General features: G+C 40.7%; 1 protein-coding gene across 12 annotated transcripts in view; it reads left to right on the top strand.

Annotated features, from left to right (window-relative positions):
• Positions 1–22,982, top strand: part of CASK (calcium/calmodulin dependent serine protein kinase) — a 408,621-nt gene that overhangs the window by 375,194 nt on the left and 10,445 nt on the right. For 10 of the 12 annotated variants that reach the window (NM_001126055.3, NM_001410745.1, NM_001367721.1 and 7 more), the window contains 4 exons: positions 5,555–5,670; positions 13,388–13,468; positions 13,575–13,655; positions 17,152–17,354. In NM_001126055.3, coding sequence (NP_001119527.1) covers positions 5,555–5,670; positions 13,388–13,468; positions 13,575–13,655; positions 17,152–17,354 — 481 coding nt within the window. The remainder of the gene's footprint in view (positions 1–5,554; positions 5,671–13,387; positions 13,469–13,574; positions 13,656–17,151; positions 17,355–22,982) is intronic. The other 2 variants (NM_001126054.3, NM_003688.4) reach the window with 1 other exon arrangement.

The raw sequence follows: 22,982 nt of genomic DNA, 5'->3' as shown, positions 1-22,982 counted from the left end.
TGTCATGAACACAGAAGTAAAAATCCTCAGCAAAATATTAGCAAATTGAATCCAGTAATATATTAAAAAGATAATATATTATGAGCCAGTGGAATTTGTACTGGGAATGCATAGCTGGTTCAGCATTTGAAAACCAATCAGCCGATCCACTAGATTAACAGACTGAAGAAGAAAATCCACATAGTCATATCAATAGATGCAGAAAAAGCATTTGGTAAAATTCAAAACCCAATCAGATTAAAAGTCTCATAAACTATGAATTGAGGGGAACTTAACCTGATAAAGGACATGTATAGTAAACCTACAACTAACATTACTAGAAAGGGAAAAAATTTGCAGATGATATGATTCTGTGTGTAGAATTCAAAGGAATCTGTAGACAATTAGAATTAGTAGCAAGGTTTAGAAAGGTTGCTGATATAAAATCAATATACAAGGGACTGGGCGTGGTGGCTCACGCCTGTAATCCCAGCACTTTGGGAGGCCGAGGCAGGCGGATCATGAGGTCAGGAGATCGAGACCATCCTGACTAACACGGTGAAACCCCGTCTCTACTAAAAATACAAAAAAATTAGCCGGGCCTGGTGGTGGGCGCCTGTAGTCCCAGCTACTTGGGAGGCTGAGGCAGGAGAATGGCTTGGACCCGGGAGGTGGAGCTTGCAGTGAGCCAAGATCGCGCCACTGCCCTCCAGCCTGGGCGACAGAGCAAGACTCCATCTCAAAAAAAAAAAAAATCAATATACGAAAATCAATTCTATTTACAAGCCACAAGCAGAAAATAAAACTTTTAAAGGGTACCATACATAACACCACTTGCAACACCATAATATTATAAAGTGTTCTTGCACACACACAAAACAAAACTGGATCTGATTAGGCCTCTAGGTTTTATTACCTATTTGCAGGAAATACAAAGGACAGAGAGACATACTAAAGATACCACAGGGACACAGTCAGAAAAATCCAGACTCTACAGAAACTAAAGGACAAACTAGTTTCTACAACAAACAAATTGTAAGAAAAGAAAAAGGAGGGAGAGGGAACCTATAGATTTTAAAGGGATTTCAGAAGAAAACTGTACTCTTGGATTTGTTCCAAAATAATCTATGATAAGGTGGTATAAATAAAGCCAGGCGCAGTGGCTCACACTTGTAATCCCAGCACTTTGGGAGGACGAGACGGGCGGATCACCTGAGGTCAGGAGTTCGAGACCAGCCTGGCCAACGTGGCAAAACCCCATCTCTACTAAAAATACAAAAAAAATTAGCTGAGCGTGGTGGCGGGTGCCTGTAATCACAGCTACTTGGAAGGCCAAGACAGGAGAATCGCTGGAACCCGGGAGGCGGAGGTTGCAGTGAGCCGAGATCGTGCCACTGCACTCCAGCCTGGGCAACAGAGTGAGACTCTGTCTCAAAAATAAATAAATAAATAATAAAAAAATAAAATAAGCTATGACTAATAATTGTCAAAGCAGGGTTGTAGATAGCTGGGTTTCATTACACTATATCCTTGTATGTGTTTGAAAGTTTTAGTGTTACAAAGTGTTTCTTAAAATACCATTTACAAAGCCTTTATTAAAAAATGACCAGGCGTGGTGACTCATGCCTGTAATCCCTGCACTTTGGGAGGCCGAGGTGGGCGGATCACTTGAGGCCAGGAGTTCAAGACCAGCCTGGCCAACATGGCAAAACCCCGTCTCTACTAAAAGGAAAAAAAAATACAAAAATTAGCTGGGTGTAGTGGCGCACACCTGTAGTCCCAGCTACTCAAGAGGCTGAGGCATGAGAATATGTCAATCCTGAAAGGTGGAGGTTGCAGTGAGCCAAGATTGTGCCACTGCACTACAGCCTGGGCAACAGAGAGAGACTCTGTCTTAAAAAATAAAATAACCTAGGAATAAATCTAACAAAGATGTCAAGACATTTACAGAATAAATTATAAAATTTATTGAGACCGGGTACAGTGGCTCATGCCTGTAATCCCAGTACTTTTGGAGGCCAAGGCAGGCGGATCACTTGAGCCCAGAAGTTTGAGACTGTCCTGGGTAACATAGCAAGGTCCAGTCTCTACAAAAATACAAAAATTAGGCCAGGCTCCGTGGCTCACACCTGTAATCTCAGCACTTTGGGAGGCTAAGGCAGGCGGATCACCTGAGGTCAGGAGTTTGAGACCAGCCTGGCCAACATGGCAAATCCCCATCTCTACTAAAAATATAAAAAATTAGCTGGGCGTGGTGGCAGGCACCCGTAATCCCAGCTACTTGGGAGGCTGAGGCAGGGAGAATCACTTGAACCTGGGAGGACGGAGGTTTCAGTGAGCTGAGATCGCACCATTACACTCCAGCCTGGGCAACAGAGCGACACTCTGTCTCAAGAAAAAAAAAATGGGTGACATGCACCTGTAGTCCGCTACTTAGGAAGCTGAGGCGGAAGGATCACTTGCACCCAGGAGGTCAAGATGACAGTGAGCCAAGATTGCACCACCGCATTCCAGCCTGGGTGACAGAGTAAGACTTCGTCTCGGCGGGGGTGGGGGGGGAATTATATCTCGAGACATTTAAAAAGATATAAGTAAATGGAGAGACATACTGTGTTTAAGGACTGGAAGACTCAATATTGCAGGGATGTCTATTCTTCCTAGATAGATTTCATAGATAAGATGCAATCCCAACAGTTTTGAAATTGACAAGCTAAGTTTAAAGTCTACATGGAAATGCACAAGGTCGGGAATAGCCAAAATGCTCTTGAAGAACAAGGAAGGAGGTCTTGCTCTACCAGATACCAAGACTTATTATAAAGCTATAGTAAACAAGATAATAAGGTATGGGTTTAGAGATGCTCAAATAGACCAGAAAGGAATAGAGAACCTGAAAACACTCTCATACGTAAATGGACACTTGATGTGTGACAGAAATAGCACTGCACAGCAATGAGGAATGGACAGGCTTTTAAATAATGTAGGACAATTGGGTATCCATTAGGAAGAAAAAAGGAATTGGACCCCTCCTTTACACCATAAGCAAAAATCAGTTCTAGGCCGGGCGCAGTGGCTCACGCCTGTAATCCCAGCATTTTGGGAGACCAAGGCAGGTGGATCACACGAAGCAGGAGTTCAAGACCAGCCTGGCCGACATGGTGAAACCCCATTTCTACTAAAAAAATACAAAAATTAGCCAGGCATGGTGGCACACACCTGTAATCCCAGCTACTCAGGAGGCTGAGGCATGAGAATTGCTTGAACCTGGGAAGCAGAGGTTACAGTGAGCCGAGATTGCACCACTGCACTCCAGCCTGGGCATCACAAGGAGAATCTGTCTCAAAAACAAAAAAAAAACAGCAGTACTAGTACATTAATACCCAAAATGTAAAAGACAAAACTATAAACTTTGAGAAGGTAATATTGGAGAATATCTTCTGGGACAAGGAAGGATTTCTTTTTATTTTTATTTATTTTTTATTTCTCTAAAGTCAGGGTCTCTGTCTCCCAGGCTGGAGTGCAGTGGTGTAGTCTTGGCTCACTGCAGCCTGGAACTGCTGGACTCAAGTCATCCTCCTGCTTCAGCCTTCCTAGTAGCTGGGACTACAGGCACGTAACATCACACCCAATCACACCCAGCTAATTTTTTTTTGTTTGTTTTTTGTTTTTTGTTTTTTTTTGTAGAGATAGGGTCTTGTTATGTTGCTCAGGCTGGTCTCAAACTCCTGGCCTCAAGTGAGCCTCCCTCCTTGGCCTCCCAAAGTGTTGGGAAATCCCCTGCTAAGGATTTCATTTTTGTTTTTTTTTTTTTTTTTTTTTTAGACAAGGTCTCGCTCGGTTGCCCAGGCTAGAGTGCACTGGCATAATCTCAAATCACTGCAACCTCCACCTCTCAGGCTCAAGTAATTATCCTGTCTCAGCATCCGGAGTAGCTGGGACTACAGGCACATGCCACCACACCCAGCTACTTTTTGTATTTTCAGTAGAGATGGGATTTCGCCCTGTTGCCCAGGCTCGTGTGAACTCCTGAGCTCAAGTCATCCACCCGCCTCAGCCTCCCAGAGTGCTGGGATTACAGGCGTGAGCCATCGCACCTGGCTGAGGATTTCTTAAGATATCAAAAATACTTCCCATTAAAGAAAAGACTGATAAATTTGACTAAATTAAAACTAATAAGTTGTGTTCATCAATTGATACCATAAAGAGAGCAAAAAGGCAAACCACAGAGTAGAAGAAGATATCTGCAACACGTATATTAATAACTAACAAAAGCATAATATCTAGACTATATAAAGAATTTCTACAAATCTATGAGAAAAAGACAACTGAACAGAGGAACGGTCAAAAGACTTGAACAGACACTTAACGAAAGAGGAAATTCAGTAGCCATTAAACATATGAAAAAATGATCAGTCTTACTAATGAGTGAAACGTAAACTAAAATGTAAATTAAAAACACAGTGGTATTCCATTATTCATCCACCATGATGGCTAAAGTTAAAGACAGATAATACCAAGTGTTGCCAAGGAAATGGAACAATAGGAATGTTCATACACTGCTGGTAGGAGTGTAAATCAGTACAATGTCATTGTAAAGCAACCTGCCATTTACAATAGCACCATATGGCATTCTGATCGTGATTTTGGACTCTTATATGTGACTCACTTGGGGACCCTTGGTTGGCCCCCATGAGCAAAATCATTAGGAGAGCAAAGTCTTCTGTGGCAATATTCTGAAAGGCAAGTATTTGTTTAGACTGAACCTGAAAGAGCAACTTTTTAATATCATCTTTATGTTACCAATGCTGGATATTATAGATCAAAATTATAATTTCCTGATTGTGGTTATAACTGTGAATTTAATCAGAGCACACTTTTTATATCTTATCTTAGAATCTCCATGTAGCAGTAGTGCCATTTGTTAAGCATATACTGTGTGCCTGGTACTGTACTAGGGACATTATTTACATTTTTTGTTCTAAACCTTTACAATAGCCATCCAAAAGGCTCCAAAAGTTTAAAGACACTGCGGATAGAATATTCTGGCTAAGATCATGAGCTCTGGTGCCAGACCTTCCCCACTCTTTCACTTATTAGCTGTGTGATTTGGGGCAAATTGCTTAACCTTTCATTCTTTCAATCCCCTCATCTGTAAAATGGTGATGCAATTCCCTGTGTTGTTAGAAAGATTAAAGGAGTTAATACATGTAAAGTTCCTAGGAAAGTGTCTAACATTAAGTGCTCAGTACCAGCTAACAAGTGACAAAGCCAGAATTCAAACCAGGCCTGTGTTGAAACATTCTACTGTATCTCATGGCCACATGTTTAGGCATCTAATCTGAGTTGTCAGTATATGTTCAAGGAATACCATGCCATTTTAATATAAGCCTATATTTTAAAAACATTTCTAGGAAATTGTCATGAAAACCAAAGAATAGCCTTTGTCCAAATTTTTTAAAAGATTAGGATGAGTATGGTTATGCTGTTTTATATAAATTCTTCAAATGGATGACTCTTCTATTTTATCAACCAGAATTATAAATTCATTTTATTTTATTTTTCTTTTTGTATGTGCTAGGCGAGTAGCTTGCATTGCCATGGAGAAGACCAAACAGGAGCAGCAGGCCAGCTGTACTTGGTTTGGCAAGAAAAAGAAGCAGTACAAAGATAAATATTTGGCAAAGCACAATGCAGGTAGGGAAAAGCACAACTGTTACTGAGGCTGGGTTAAGCATCTCCAAGACCTAAAAAGATGTAATATTTTAATTCAGTCTTCAGTGTTCTCTATCCAAAAAATTCTACCATATGAGATCTTCATCAACTTTCAAAACCTTTAAGAAACCCCTACCTCCAATTAATATGTTGATTATTTGCTAGATATTTTACAGAGCTATACTTTATAGGACAAAAATGTTATTTTGAAATAGTATCCTCTGGAATGAAAAGAATCCAACACGTTAAGTCCTCCCCTGAGAAATGAAAGCTTGAGAGTTTGCTGAGTAGCCAGGATTCTTATCTATCCTTGGCTGGGATTGGTCTTGAACAGATCTCCTCCCGCCTGGCTCCTGCCTGGCCCTTGGGCGTGGCCCTGAGATAAACATCTGAGGGTAGAGGTGTGCTCTTATCAGAGAACTGTGCCACAAATGGTTCTGTGGTTGGTTTGAGAGAGTACAAATGACATGGACACTAACTTGGTTTTGTCCATTTCTGTGAGTCGTCTTCTTCCCTCATGGTATTTCCAAGCTACCACAAGAGCAAGAATCTTATCTTGGCCTTCCCTTTATAGTATGTATGTTTGCCCATATGGAAGTTTGTATTCAACTTAAGTCAAAATGTTCACTTGTCTTGTTGAAAACTGGAATTAATACCAAAAAGGCATGATCTGTTGTTGCAATAGAATCCCCAGAAGATTCACAGGGTGCAACTTAAGCTAAAGAAAATGCATGGTGATACACAGGAGTGCTAATACAAGAAGTTATTTTCAATAACTTCTTAATACAACTCCTTTTATAAGGAACTTTTTCTGAGGAATTGAAAGTCCTGACTGGCATTAGGTTAGTTCCCAAGGTTTCAGAAATAACTCCAAAAATTAGAAATGTGGCCCAAAAAATCAAGTGAATCTAGTCATGCATACCCAGATTGATGGCATAATGTTTCTGACAAGTATGAAATGCATTTTTCTCTGTAAATGTTATAACGTACTCTGAATTGTTCATTTCTCAATCAGAGATTAAAAGTAAACATTTCAAACTGCTGTATAATGTGGAATGAATGTGAGTGGCCACATGGGTTAAGTTTAAATGGCTCAGTTAAATAAGGAATCATTCCCTTCGCATTAGTTACATTGTACCACATTTTTATTTCCAAAAACAGTGTAATTTCTGGTTATGTACTACTACAGAGCAGTAGTTTCATAATGGCTTTTTTGGTTTTATGAAGGGAAGAAATAAAGCAGACTAGTTACACAAAATGTAGCAACTGTTAAGCAAATGCTCAAGTATACTATTTGAAGAAATGCACTGCAGAGCCAGGCACGGTGGTGGTGCCTGTAATCCCAGCTACTTAGGAGGCTGAGGCAGGAAGATTGCTTGAGCCCAGGAGTTCGAGGCCAGCCTGGGCAACAGCAATACCCTGTCTATACAAAATAAAAATAAACTAAATAGAAATGCACAGCAGTATCAGCAGAATGTTGCTTCACACAAAACGTCAGTGGTTATTACCAAGTCTCCTTAGTTGCCCTTACTTCTGTCAGCTTCTAACAGTCTAACACAATCTAATAGGCTCACAAGGAGATGTGTTGACATATAAATTGAGAAATGTATGCATCTCACCTTGTAATTTGTACAGCAGTGTTAAATGATACATAGATATAGATGGGATTGAAATTAACTTACACCTAGAAAAGCAAAGAAATGGCTGGTTCAGGCTGTCAGTTTATCATTAGATTTATGCTGTACTAATAGAGGTCATGTAAACATGAGTATTCAGTTTGCCAGTATTCTTTAATTCAGCTCTGAGGAAAGTAAGAAATTCATTGAAAAACTAGAATTCTCTAAATGCTGTCAAAGAGTCAATTTAATCATTAATTTAAGAATTTTGCCAGAGAATCAGCATCCGATCTGGCAGCCAGTGTTTTCACTTTTTCCACTCTTTCACCACCAGGGTATCACTGATCTTCTTCCATTGCTCCCATTCTCTGATTCCCGTTAGATGGTGCACAGTGGTCCTGCAAACACACCTGTAAGCTTAATAGGCAGCTGGAGATAGGACCAGGAATTAGCACACCTGAGTAACCGTGCAATTTGGGCAAATCACTTCGCTCCTACGGGCCTTGAAATGAGGGAATTAGGTTAGTCAATCAAGGAGATCTTTTCTAATTCTAAAGATCAGTGGGTCTCAGGTTCTTTCATCACTGGGCCTGACAAATGGCGATCATTCAATGAAGCCAAGTATTCTTGTACTGTCTATCTCAGGCTCTTGCTCTCTGGTAGACATTGCCTATCCAGGTTGAAAGCTATCACCCTTGACATAGAAGGCAGGAGCCTAATAGGGGTAGAACAGAATTGCTTTTTCCTCTGTCTTTTGACATTTACCTCCTATCCCAAACCATTGACCTCTCTTAAGTTCTTGTCAACTTAGAATGAAGAAAGGAGGGGTTGAGAGGACAGGGGAGCCTACTGCCACCACCTGTTTGGTATCATCAGTATTTTCCTAACCAGCGGCCGTCTGGGCATCAGAACCTTCCTTGCCATGCTTAAGGGGTTGTTCTACATGTCAGTGTGTGTCACTGTGTATAAGGCCCTCCTTTGAAAGAAAGTCTGAGCTTCTTAGATGGTCCTTGCAGAGCCCCTTAAGTGTCTTTGTAGAACTTTGTGTTTAGGCCTATTTGTGATTCTCTAGTCAGGATATCATTGTTAGGCTTCCCTCACCTGCAAAATAATCACTGTGAGCTCTCTTTTTAGTTTCTCTTTTTGGGAGAAGATTCCCAGCTTTTTTCCTTGACTTTCTGAAATACACTGCCTGCAAAGCCTAGCATTCCTTTCTGTCACCATCTCTTCAGGTTTCTTCTGTGTCATCAACCAACTCTTCCATTTTGTTCATTAGAAAGTCCAGAAGAACCATTTGCTTAGTATTACCTTTGCTTTACAAGAGATCATAGGGTCAAGTATTTAATCAGCTGTTCTGCTTTTAGCTACGATGAAAGGTCATCCCAATATACAGAAGTGTCCTTATAAAGAATTGCTCTAAAAGAGTGAGAAACAAATACTCTTGACTTCCATTGGTGAGGCAGTTGCTTTGAGAACTTAGAAATATCATAGCCTTTCATACCAAACCAGATGGGCTCATGGGCCACAGATCAAACAATATCTCAAAAGGATTTTTCTGGCTTTTTTAGAAGTTGATGGTAAAATACAGTACTCTGTTCTTCTGTTACTACTCAGTAAATTAAAATAAGGGCTGTATGTTTTGTTTCCTGCTTCAAATCTTTGAGAATTCATCATATATTGATGGCAAGATCCAAACCTTATCAAGTTCTGACATTATTTGTATTTGTGGTACAAATGAAGGTTGGGAATTTTGTCATTATCTAGAACTGGTGGGAATGATAATACTAGAATTATTTCCATTTTTGTCGTTAGGAAATTCTACATAGCTTGTTAAAGTGGAATTCTGTTCAAACTGTGTTACCTACAACTCCCATCATAAAGTGACAGCCTATTCGCTGAATTTGACCCATAAGTAAATTTTGTCCCTCTAACTCCCACACACACAGTGTTTAAGTTTTAATAAGTCATCACGTGTGAAAGTCAGGATATTTAACATAAAAATTTGGGTTTCAGAGTTCCCTTAGAAGAACAAGGAATGCAGCAATACCAGGTCCACTTTCTCTTTTAGTAACTCTGGGTGGTTAATATGGCCTTTGAATGGACGCTCATTCTCCAGCACACACTGTCCGCACCACTCCCTGTTTTTGCACCTGGCCCACTTCATTCAACCACATTAGCTACCTGACCCCTGCGGGCATTCAAGTATGTACTCCTTAACCCAATGCTACCAGTGTGCAATGCTCTTTTGAATTGGAGGTCTTTATAGTATTTGAAGATCTTGATAGTGTTTCCAGCTGAGACAAGGATTCAATGTTAATGGCTTTTTTATGGAAAAAATTCAACCTGGAAAGTAGTTACATAAATACTTAAAAGAAGTGTCTGGAATGTTGAGTAGTTTAGCAGAAAATCAGGGTAATATGAGCAAACTATGCTAGACAGTATTTCTGAATCCTTGGGAATAGATTTGATTATGGTGTGTGTAGCTTTTACAGCAAATACATTTTCTGTAACATACAGAAGGTTTCTAGCCATGTATACTTGGTACAAAAAGCATTGTGGTGTGGCTGGAACAACTGAACTCTAGAGGCATTGAGATTCCTCAGCCCCCAGGACTTCCAAAAGTCATTTTAGATCAAGTTACTAGTGTAAACTTTTTAAAAATGTAGGAAGTCTTCATTAATTTGGTTTCTTAAATGTTAGAGCCCCGAAATACTCTATTTACATACACATATTTGAACATAGGGGATTTCTACAGTACCATTCATAGGTGTGCTTAAATTATGCTTAATACCACAAATTAGTACTATTGACTTTAAAAGCTATTCTTTTTTTTCTGGAATACAAGCAACTCTAAAGGAAACAAAAAGTAGCCCATAAACTCACTGCCCTGTTGGCATTAAAAATAATAATAGGCTGTGCGCAGCGGCTCATGCCTGTAATCCCAGCACCTTGGGAGGCCGAGGTGGGCAGATCACTTGAGGCCAGGAGTTCGAGACCAGCCTGGCCAACATGGCAAAACCCCATCTCTACTAAAAATACAAAAATTAGCTGGGTGTGGTGGCACACGCCTGTAATCCCAGCTACTTGGGAGGCTGAGGCAGGAGAATCACTTGAACCCGGGAGGTCCGCGGAGGCTGCAGTGAGCCAAGATCCCACCACTGCACTCCAGCCTGGGTGAAGGAGCGAGACCCTGTCTCAATAATAATAATAATAATAATAATAATAATAATAATAATAAAAGTAATAGGCACACATGGTTAGAAATTACACATGGTACAGGAAGGTACAAAGTGAAAAGCAAAAGGCTTCCACGTCTACACTCTCTGAAGAGGTTTTCTTGTAACTATTCTCGATAAAATGTCTATGCATATGCTAGTATATAAAATCCGCTGGCTTTTATATAAGGATATTGTCGAATTTCTATTAAAATGAGTTTGTTTCTTAATGTGATTTATTTGCCTTGTGTTTAGAATATTGCATGATAAAGTTTATTTTATACATATTATACTTTTATTTTACTAATATATGAAAAGCCATATTTCAATGACCCCTGTACATTTTTCATGCTGTCTCACTCCCAATGGCCTCTGTGCATGTAAGTAACCTGTTGAATGACTATGCCTCTGTGTTTTTGGTGGTTTTCTTTTATTAAGTCCTTTTTTTAATCAGCAAGCAACTTAAAACCTTTAAAAGCTCATTCTTTAAGTGCTTTCCTAATATTATTTGTATCTCTTATTTTAAAATACCCTTTTTTTATTGTTTCTCAACCCTATGACCGTGTGGCAATTTCATTTAGACCAGAGTAACCTCTTCATGCTGCTCATTTATGGTTAAGATATTGATGTTTAACATATCTGTTTCATTTCATTTTCATAACATGTCTGTTTGTGGTTTTGATGGTTGACATCTAACTCATTCTTATGTGTTTTTTAAAAAAATGACAAGTCTTAATTTGGTAGGATCACAGTTAGGGCTCTATAGAGGGATAGGTGTGTGTATATACCATTCGGAAAGCTTGTGTCATCATCATCATCTTGCTCTTTTGTGAGATGCTTGCTTATTTTTATTAAAATATATTAAAACATATCTGCTTGTCAATGCACTTCTTCTGTAAGCATACTTTTTCTTGATGGAAATATCACTCAGAGGGCAATAGGTCTAAAAAATAATGCCATCAGCACTCCTGCTTTTATTTTTGCAACTCTCATCACTCCATTACTACTGCAGTATAACTAACTAGCCCTACCACAGAGAGCCTCATGTTCATTTTAATTTTGTGAGTCTGCCATTCTGAACACAGAAAACATTTCTTGGTTTTTAGCTATTGCTAGAGGATATGCTTTAAAGACTTTCAATCAACCTTTATAAATCAAGTTATCAAAAGAAAACAAATGTGCAAAAACCCATTAATATACACTAACCTCTATTTTAATATATCGTGTTTCTTTTTTTATATATTGTGATAATGGTGCTTTTTGTTTGTTTGTTTCTGTTCTATTCTATTCCCAAGTATCTTATTTTGCATTTTAAGTGATTGGGCAAATCACTAATGTTAAGAACTAAGGTGATATTCACAGTCATTTGGCCATAGTGTTTCTAGGAGTAGAAGGTTCTCTTAATAAATGATTGGCTAAAGTAATGCAGATTTCGGCCGGGCACGATGGCTCACACCTGTAATCCCAACACTTCGGGAGGCCAAGGCCAGTGAATCACCTGAGGTCAGGAGTTCAAGACCAGCCTGGCCAACATGGTGAAACCCCATCTCAACAAAAATACAAAAATTGTCTGGGCGTAATGGCAGGTGCCTGTAACTCAGGAAGCTGAGGCAGGAGAATCGCTTGAACCTGGGAGGCAGAGGTTGCAGTGAGCCGAGATCGCGCCACTGCACTCCAGCCTGGGTGGCACAGCGAGAGTCCATCTCATAAATAAATAAATAAATAAATAATAAAGCAGCCCAGATTCCTTTATTACATCATCAAATCAATTTTACTGAATTTATTTTAACCCCTCTAAAATCCAGGGTTTATTCAATATTCTTTAAAAAAAGAAATGTCAGTATGTAACTGACAGCATTTGGGTATGACCATACAAAAAATATTACAGGAAACACAGACATACAATTTTAGCCCTTTGTGAGAATTTCCAAATGTGTGTGAGAATTGGACCATGTTGAATTTCAACAGGAATGGGCATCTGCTCAGGAAAGTTTTGTACATTGCTTGAAATTGCTTTTATCATAGTGTTAAGAGGCAGGTTTCAGAAAAATATTTGTTAAAGTATTTCTCCTCAGTCTGTAGTGATTAGAGAACTCCACTTTTGCAAAGGTTTCTGAGCTCAGACTCTGCTTCATGATTCTTTCCATCCTGATCCACCATACACAGGCTGCCCATGTAATGGGCGACAAGTTTTCAGGCCCAGGAAAGCATGTAACTCTCCTTACATATTCAAGACTTTCCATTGAGTGGATATCTGGGTTACAGTAAAGCTTGTGAGATGCTCATTGATAAGCTTGTGCAATAGTTACAGAACTTGCCTTAGAATCTAGCATGCCACCTTCATCAACTCTGTTGAAAGAAAGAACCATGAAGTTAAAGACCAGCTGTCCATGCATTTCTCATCCATCTCTAGAAATGATCTAGCTGGCCCCTCTCCTGGTTAACTTTAGTTGCATTCATGCTATATTCATGTTGGTCACTGTCTGTAGACTTTTTCTTTTTAGTATTGCTGACTTCTTAGAATTGGAAAAATATGAACAGCATGTGGTTTCAAATTAATTCATATGATTTGTTGGATACTACATGAAAAGATATGTAGTATCTTTTAGATTTGGACATTTTAATGCATGTGTTCAGCATCTTTGGATGCCCCTGGTTCTAAAGAGCATTTTCATGGGCTTAAAAATGAAAATTTCTCCCTAGATGCTATATGACTTAAATTACATGTAAGCCATATATCATAAGTTGGATTCATATTTTTAAGACATGGTTTTAATATAACTGTAGTTTTGCCAGTAAAATTATAATTTATGTACATGAAATAGTCATTCTACAAATTTACCTTTCTTCTAAATCTTTGCGTTTTAGTGTTTGATCAATTAGATCTTGTCACATATGAAGAAGTAGTAAAACTGCCAGCATTCAAGAGGAAAACACTAGTCTTATTAGGTAAGTTTGATTGTGTAAGTGAGTTGCTTATTCTCACTTTCAAAACATTTTGTGAACATTATTAAGAGTTGTCAGTTTTAACATTCTTTTTTTCTAAATGACATAGGCGCACATGGTGTTGGGAGAAGACACATAAAAAACACTCTCATCACAAAGCACCCAGACCGGTTTGCGTACCCTATTCCACGTAAGCAATGTCTCAATCTCTTTTCATTATATTTTTCCTATCACTTTTTTAACTCTATAATTTATGTATTTTTTTCTGATTACATAAGGTATAACTGTTCATTGTAGGAAATTTGTAAAATCAAAAAAAGAACAAGGAGGAAAATGAGTTAACAGTAATCCCAACCCCTCTTTCCCTATAATAAGTGCTATAAATATTTTGTTGTATACCCTTCTAGGCTTCTCTGTTGTATACCCTTCTAGGCTTGTCTTAGTACAGATATGTGTATAAAGTGTGTGTGTGTGTGTGTGTGTGTGTGTGTGTGTGTGTGTGTTTTAAATAAAATTAGTTTTATCCATTCTGTTTGTAACAATTTTTCTAACAATATGTCATACACATTACCTAGATGAATTATTCTTCAGAAAAATAAGTTTTCATAGTTGTACAGTTTCTGATATGACAATTTTTTTCCCTTAGTTAATATTTAAATTGTTGATTTCTTACCACTTTTTAAACCCAATCAATATGCTAACAGTTGTTTCTGTAAAGATTTTCAAATCTGTAAGATTTTTAATTCTCCTTATTTTCCGTATCTTATTCTTAACCTCTTGCCCTCTTCATTTTCTCAATTGTAAAATGAAGTAATTCAGGATTGCAGAGAGGATTTGAGATCATGTGTATGAAGCACTTAGCAGATGGTGGATAAGTAGAAGCTATCTACCACTATCATTTCATTATTATCATCATTATTCTAAAGTTTAAAATTTTAGGCCAGGCGCGGTGGCTCATGCCTGTAATTCCAGCACTTTGGGAGGCTGAGGTGGGCGAATCACCTGAGGTCGGGAGTTTGAGACCAGCCTGACCAACATGGAGAAACCCCGTCTCTACTAAAAATACAAAATTAGCTAGGCATAGTGGTGCATGCCTGTAATCCCAGCTACTCAGCAGGCTGAAGCAGGAGAATCAGTTGAATCCGGAGGTGGAGGTTGTGGTGAGCCGAGATCGTGCCATTGCACTCCAGCCTGGGCAACAAGAGTGAAACTCCGTCTCAAAAAAAAATAAATAAAATTTTAACCCCAGAAGCTTTCTAGCAGCTCAGGGTTGGAAGAGCTAAAGGAAAATTATTTTTTAAGAGCAACAGGAGAAAATGTGAAGATTGGCTCCATTCTATAGGGCCTTCACATGCCTTCCTGAAGCAATGTCAATACCACTTACAGTTATCTGTACACCTCAGAGAGCCAGGAGGCTTCATGAGAAAACCTTCATCCCAAAACCTTGTCTGATTTACACAAGAAAAGAAATGTATCCAATAGTGTCTCATTTGGCACTACTGGGGTTTTCTAGTAAAACACTTTGAAGTGTTCTTTTAATTCTCCTTATGTCTAGATCATGAGTACAGCAAGCTTAGCTAACATTTAGCTTCTTCTTAACCACGTAACAACTGAACTTCCATGTTATTAAATGGCCAGTTAACTAGTTTGGTTTTAAAACTTACCTTTGATGATGTCAATCATGACTAGTCTTTGAAATATTTGACCCTGTATGTGTATATAACATATATCTAACTACTGAGATGACTGAAGATAGTACAACATCAATATGTTATGTAAGTTCTTGGCTGGGCGCGGTGGCTCACACCTATAATCCCAGCACTTTGGGAGGCCGAGATGGGTGGATCACATGAGACCAGGAGTTTGAGACCAGCCTGGCCAATGTGGTGAAACCCCATCTCTACTAAAAATACAAAAGTTAGCCGGGCATGGTGGCACACACCTGTAGTCCCAGCTATTAGGGTGGCTGAGGCATGAAAATCGCTTGGAACCCGGGAGCTGGAAGTTGCAGTGAGCTGAGATCTTGCTACTGCACTCCAGCCTGGGCAACAGAGTGAGACCCTGTCTCAATAAATAAATAAATAGTAACGCCGGTTCTTCAGCTTTTGATGTGCCTAGAGAAAGGGCTTCTCTTAAAATGTCCACATTTTGATGACCACGAGCACTTTATGTTCTAACAAACAGGCTAGCAGGAAAGGGGGATTCCCCATTAGTTTAGGCTCATGTATACAGAAGAGAGTAGCATAAATTTGTTCTTTCTCAAAGAAAGAAGGAAGCAAAGAAATTGAGAGAGAGAGGGAAAAAAAGGGAAGGAAGGGAGAAAAGAAAGGGGGGTAGGGAGAGAGAATATTAAAACCAGTGTTCCTGGCTCATCTAGAAAAACATTTCCTAAAGTGTGTTTTGCAGGATACTGGTCCTATTAGTATCCACAGAACTAGAGCTTATTGGCATATACTTCAGTTACACTCACTTAGGTGAGGGGTGGGCAAGCCTTTTCTGTAAAGGACCAGATAGTACACATTTGAGGCTTTAAGGCCATACAGTCTATCACAAGCACTTAGCTCTGCTGTTGTCTCATGAAAACAACCATAGGCAATATGTAAACAAAAGCACATGGCTGTGTTCCAGTAAAACTTTGTTTACAAAAACAGACAGTAGGTGGCCAGGTGCAGTGGCTCACACCTGTAATCCCAGCACTTTGGGAGACTGAGGCGGGCAGATCACCTGAGGTCAGGAGTTTGAGACCAGTCTGGCCAACATGGTGAAACCCCGTCTCTGTTGGAAATACAAAAAATAGCTGGGCATGGTGGTACACGCCTATAATCCCAGCTGCTCAGGAGGCTGAGGGCACAAGAATCTCTTGAACCCAGGAGGTGGAAGTTGCAGTGAGCTGAGATCGCACCACTGCACTCCAGCCTGGGCTACAGAGTGGGACTCTGTCTCCAAAATAAAAAAATAAAAATAAAAAAAGACAGTAGACCATGTTTGGCCCATAAGCCAGTTTGTCACCTCCTGATTTAGGTCTTCCATAATAATTATGGGTATGTCTGGCCACAGTCATTGTGTTTTCAGTGTAACGTGTCTTTTGCTGTATCCTAACATTCTCCTTTTGCAAGATGTTATAGAACATCACTTTTCAATAGAACTTTCTGTGACAATGACAGTACTTGATGTCTGTGCAGTCCAGTACAGTGGCCACTAACCATACGTGGTTATTGAATCCTTGAAATGCCACTAGTGAGACTGAGAAACTAAAATTTGAATTTTATTTAATTTTGGCTTATTTAAATTTAACCATATGCAGTTTTCCATTTTTTTATTCTCCTTTTTTCCTTCTACACAAGACCCAACTGCATTAAGGCATACAGTGAGTTATATTAATCTTGGGTCATTTCACGTCTTCCTCCTGTGGTGGTTCATGAAGGGATAAAATACATCTCACCTGAACACTGAAAGTTTCACCAAACCAGACAATTCACTGGCTACTATGGTGTGATGCACACAGATAAATATGGTTTCTAGAATTTAGTTCTGCAAAGCCACTGGGGGTGAGAACAGGGGATATGAGATATACGCTAAAGAATCCACAGCTTTTAGGAAGAGACTGGGTTTGAGTAAATCTGTTGGGAGTGTAGTAAGCTCATCAGCTCAGCCTTTTAAACCTCTTGTGCCATGCGACTTTGCAGATACAACCAGACCTCCAAAGAAAGACGAAGAAAATGGAAAGAATTATTACTTTGTATCTCATGACCAAATGATGCAAGACATCTCTAATAACGAGTACTTGGAGTACGGCAGCCACGAGGATGCGATGTATGGGACAAAACTGGAGACCATCCGGAAGATCCACGAGCAGGGGCTGATTGCAATACTGGACGTGGAGCCTCAGGTAATGCCCAGCCTCCCCGAATGTCTGACATCCTGCCTGCATGCCAATAAGCACAGATTCTGAAATCAAAAATGCCATCAGAAAGTCACAGGTCACATAATAATTTCATAAACCACAGAAAAGTATCAGTAATGGAGGCGTTGGGGGTTCACAGTCTAGAATGCCAGCTGACTAATCGTTGGACTCAGTGCACACACCATGTATTTAAGAAGCAGAGATTATTCTCTTAAGAGGTTTATTATATGCAGAAGCTCAGTAAGGTTCCTGATTGTGTCTACGCCTGCCAGAAATCCTACGATCATCTGACCTCAGGATGAGGCTCTGGCACTTTGTTATCACAACAGCCACCTTCCCTCTCTGGGTACAGCTCACGCTGGACCATCAGAGCCTCTACCAGCACATTATGTTAATCTCCAGTGAGAAACTGATCCTGGGGCCTGGGTCTGAAACACAGCACTAGCTTTATGAAAGCAAGCATGAGTGAGCCCAGATGTCAGAGACAGCAGGGATGGAAACCCATGGTGGCTCTCAGCCTCTGCCATTTCCTTACCTGAGCACAATGCCTGACCCTGAGCAAAAACTAGGAGAGAGATAAAGACTTGGAAGAGGACTCAAAAGAGAGCCAGACACAGAGATGATGAAATGGTTTCTAGATATGTCTTGCAGTAGGAATTATTAAACTTGAAAAAGAGAAAGCTGAAGGCTTTACATCAAAAATGCTGACAAGCTGTTTTTTCATCTCTGAGTACAAACCAAGTAGATATGGGAGGCAAAGTATAGTAGGAAGGATTTGGGAGTTGTAGACATCAAGGTGGGTTATAGGAGAGGCTTGTGGGTGCCATGTGACTCCTGGGTCTGCCATTTCTAGGACTGATCTGTACCAAATCTCCTTTAACCCTTAGAAATAGAACCAGTATGCTACCTGCTGAAATAGTAGACCAGCTTCCCTCAAGCAGGCTGTGTTTCATCAGGAGGCTTACCTGGCTATCTTAGGCAGGGCGAATCCCTGTTCAAGGGCCACTGTATGAGACTTGGTCCCCTAACCATCCCTAAAGCAAGGACAGAACCTATATAGCCAGAGTCTGTGTGACCTGGGACCTGACAGCTCAGTTTCTGGGCTCCAGGATCCTAATTCGTGGCCAGTGGGTTCACCCATTTCCGTTTACAACACCTGATGGGGTTCTTGAACTTGGAACTTTGGAAACCACAAAAGGATCTGTTCAAGGGGCTAGGGAGGAAAGCAGCAGTAGGGTGAACACTGCCGTTTACTTAACAATTAACTTGGACCTATATAGAACTAAATATATGATGTGTACCACAGATTGATTTTTGTTTAACTACTAATCCCTCCTTACTAGGGATTGGAAAAATCTTCTGGCCAGGGGTGGCTAGAGGCAAAGTCTCAATCCTGGTCCTGGTCTTCGACATCCTCTCCTTGGGTTCCACACTGGTCTTCACCTGAACGTCGTTTTCTGCTGGTAGTAATGTCTCTAGCAGTATGCTGGCTGCAGGGCTCCTCAGACTCCCTCTGCATTACCTAAGTCCACTTTCGAGGGCTTTCTGCCTTACCTGCCTCCGCTGCTGCCGCCGCCACCGCCACTGCTGCTGCTGCCGCTGCTGCTGCTGCTCCACCCATAGCGTCCAGCTCTCCCTTTCTCCTTGCCCTTGCACAGCCATGCATTGCTCTGCACTGCTGAGTGGGAGACACTTCTCTCAGCCTCCTCAGGACACCCACAGCAGTTACTTTTACCCATTGCACTTGGCCCCAAAGCACCTCCTCACCCCGGCTGGGCACTCTCCTCTGCTCCCCTGAGTGCTGGATGAGCTCACCTGCACTCTTCTCTCCTGCTTCCTGGGTCCCTGCCTCTCAGAACTGTGATCTCTCAGATCCACCTAGCCCTGAGGGCCGGCCATAGGCATCCTGGCTGCCTGAGTCTCTTTGGGCCAGCGGCCCTGGGGATAGGGATTGCCCAGGTCCTGCTCCTCCTGTTGGTCTGGTTGACTACACTGGTCCCAGGCCCTCCTGCGCAGGCCAGCCTCATGCCAGTCCTGGTCTCACAATGACCATTGCATACCACAGTACAGCTGAGAATGCCCGCAGTCTGCACCGACTGGGCTTCACTCTCGGGCTTCTCTGCCCTCAGCCCAGTCTCTCCTCAGCTGGACAAGGCCTTCATCCTGCCTTCAGGATACCCGTGACCATGAACAACTTGCTTTCAGGCAGAGCCTCACTGCTCCAGGGAGGCTCTCTCCTTAGGACATTTTTCTCCATCCCCCTTTCCCACTCCAGCTTCTTAGATGACCCCTCTACTGTATCTTACAGACAATTTAATCCAACAAACTTGTATTAAGCCCTTATTATATGTCAAGCACAGGGTCAGGAGCTAAGAATACAATTCAGAAGACAAGATGGTGAGGATGAAATTCCTTCCTCATTGTACATCCAAAACTGTCCATAACAGAAGGGCCTTGTGGCATTTTTTAGAATCCTCTCACTTCTGCCAAACTACATGTGGACCATAGGAAAACCACCTAACACATGTCCAGCTCTTTTAGTACAGGTCTAATACTTTATGCCATCTTATTTCAGACAACTGAGGCCCAATTGAGCACGTCTAATAATACTATATGATAAGATGTTGTGGTCCAACTTTAAAGCTAGAGGATGATGGTAAAGACATTAAACTAGAAAGAAATTAATAACCTAGCTTCTCATAAAATAGTAATAGATTATGTTCTTATAGTGCTGTATATTTTGCCAGGCGTTATGACTCCTTACCTAATCCTTGTAACCCTATGAGCTGGAGATCAGTATCTAGTTTTGTAGATGGAGAAACCAAGGCTTAACATAATTGTGACTCGATTAAGGCTTTACAGCCAATTGAAAGTGAGGTGTGAAGTTGAACTGTGTTGATTTTTAAATTTTTATTCTTTTACAGTAAATCCCCACTTCCTTTCACTGTACCACCCTAGAAGAGGTAACCCTGGGAATCCTTAAGATGGTTCACCTTATCCATAGTAGTACAATGTAAAGCCTCATTTTTTCTTAACATTCAGAAAAATCTGTAATTCAGTCAAACCTAAGAAAAGCTGTAGAATTTATTTCTCATGAAAATAAAGCTATGGCTCAGAAAATAATCTGTGCCCCTAAAGCTGAAACTGTAATAGCCCCAGTGTGTAATCAGAGCTTAATGTGATGGTTTTAGATTTTAACTTTATTCTGATGTATCCATTTGTAGCATGAAAAAGTTAATAGTAGCAGAATATTTGTAGTTTTGCTTTTGCCCACAGCGGAAGAGGTCATCATCAAGAGGCAGCATACAGTCTTGTTAGGAATCCATACTTTAAAACAAGAGCCAGGTTCTGAACCAGAGACTATTTTGTGAAATCAGTTATCTCTCTTGAGATGGGTTCTGGGGTCACTGCACTCTTCCTAAACCCTTAGATTTTTGTACAAAATGACTCAGATGCTTGCCTCTGTGTGCCTTTTAAGTTTGCAAACCAGAATAGATATCTGCCTCTTATACACTTGGGTCAAATGAGTTTCTATTCCTTGAGGATAATAACCTGAGATTAATTATTGGCCATAGCCAAGCCATAGAATCAATTTATCTCCACAAATGTTAGATTAATGTTACTTTGACTATCTGAATCTAGCATGCTTTCAGTGATCTTTCTAGAGCGTGCTCTTTCTCTCCCTGTCCATATCTGTCCCTGTTTCTCTCTCTCTCTCTACACACACACACACTCTCTCTCTCTCTCTGTCTCTCTCTCTGCCTCTCCCCCTCTCTCTCACTCTCTGTCTCTCTCTCTGTCCCCGTCTCTCTCTCCGAATCCCAGAGAGATTCGGAGAGAAATATTTGCCCATGAACATTAAAAAATGTGTGCCTCATCCTGAGTCAGAAAGGAAGAGGGTTTAGAGTTCATCTTTAAGTCACCTATTAACTGCCTGAGAGAGGGGAATCCTTGTGAGCAATTCCATTTCCTGTCCCTGAAGTAACTCTGAACCTCAGCCAGGCTACCACAGCACCAAAAGTGGCACCCACTTGAGACCCGTAAGTAGTGCAGAGTATGGCCCAAAGACCTTCAAGAACAAGCGAGGAAATGTGTGGTGAGTCTGCTGAAAATATGAGGCTGACTAGACAGGAAAATCTCAATCAGGATTTGAGGCATCTTAGAATTTTTGAAAGTACAATAATAAAGTATAGAAATAGAAAAAGCTACAAAAAGGAGGAGAAAGCAAATATGCTAACCACAGGGCTACTTTAGTTACTGTGATAAACATTAAATTTGGCTCTGAACTTCCTGACAACCAGGGCAAAAAAAAGGAAATCAAGGAATATAACCTGATTCGTAGACATAAGAGGCATTTGGCAATGTGAGGAACATGGCCACCATTGATGGTTTTATGCAGTGAGTGCAGTCTATGGATATAGACCAAGGGTGTGAATGCAGTGCAGAGATGGGCAATCTGCAGGAAGCTAAACTAATGTTCCAAGCAGTTTGTTTTCTGCTGTTGTAATGTGATAGCTGGAATGGAAAACATGATAAGGACTGGGTAGCTGGCAGGCTGGGCCACTGAGTGCAGAAAAAAACCATTTCATGCCCAGGGTGTCATTCTCTACTTCATCTGTGGGTTCCGTTCAGCATCCAGGCTGGGTGGACTTCCATCTAGCACTTAGAGTAGCTTTGGGGATAGAAGCAAATAGGATTCTTTCCCATCTCAGTTGCCCAGAAGCAGGCTATGGGATGGGTATATGTGTGTGACCGGGAGTAGGGGTGATGAGAAAACCTTGTCTCAGCTGACCCTGTATTCACCTGATCTATGAGCATAGGAAGGAAGGAAAAAAGGCCTAAGATAATACTGACATAAAGGATATTTCTAAGTGAAGATCCCTGTTAGCTTGCTTGAGCTATATATGGACTTTGTCATAATGTTTGTTCCTGGCTTAAGTCTTCAGCCACAAAAGGATTGGCAAAGAAATTGCCAGTTACCTCTTTCAAAAATTAACATATGCAAGCTTAAAGAGCTTTCTTACCAGAAGAATCAGAGCCTAGGACTTTAAGAGTTAAAAAACTTTGATGGATAAATACAATGTACCAGTCTCCCTCAACCCACAAGAAGATGCTGTGTGACTAAAATTCAGAAATATAATCCTAGTGAAAGCCAACCTTGCACTAAAAAAAGAAAGAACCTTTCATGTCAAATTTGTCTCTTACATGCCTGTATACACAAAGAGGCTAAGAGAGTCCCTTCAGCCAAGAGAGTAGAGTGCTCTGTAGATGAACCTGCCTTAAAAGACAAGATAAATTCTGTGCAAATTATATCTACTATTTTTACATTTTAATTTTTTCATAAGGGCAGTTTATGCTGGGTGCCATATTGGGCATGAGTGAGATAGCTGAACAAGACACAGTCCCTCCCTTCAAGGAGGGTACCCGCTAGTCCCTGGGGTCTTGGGTTTCCCACGTGATGGGTACTTCAGGAGCACATGGGAGGGTCTCAGAGCTCACAAAGGACTTCCCAAAGAAAAGAGCATCAGTACTGAGTTCTGAAGGATTACTCAGCCAAGCAAAAGAGTGAGTGGGGAAGGGGAAGAGAGGATGGGAGGTTCAGGCAGAGGGAGT

This window comes from Homo sapiens, chromosome X, assembly GCF_000001405.40.
Source record: "Homo sapiens chromosome X, GRCh38.p14 Primary Assembly".
In the NCBI taxonomy this organism is placed as follows: Eukaryota; Metazoa; Chordata; class Mammalia; order Primates; family Hominidae; genus Homo; species Homo sapiens.
The sequence above is the reverse complement of the archived record's forward strand: the minus strand, read 5'-3'. Positions and strand labels throughout refer to the sequence as shown.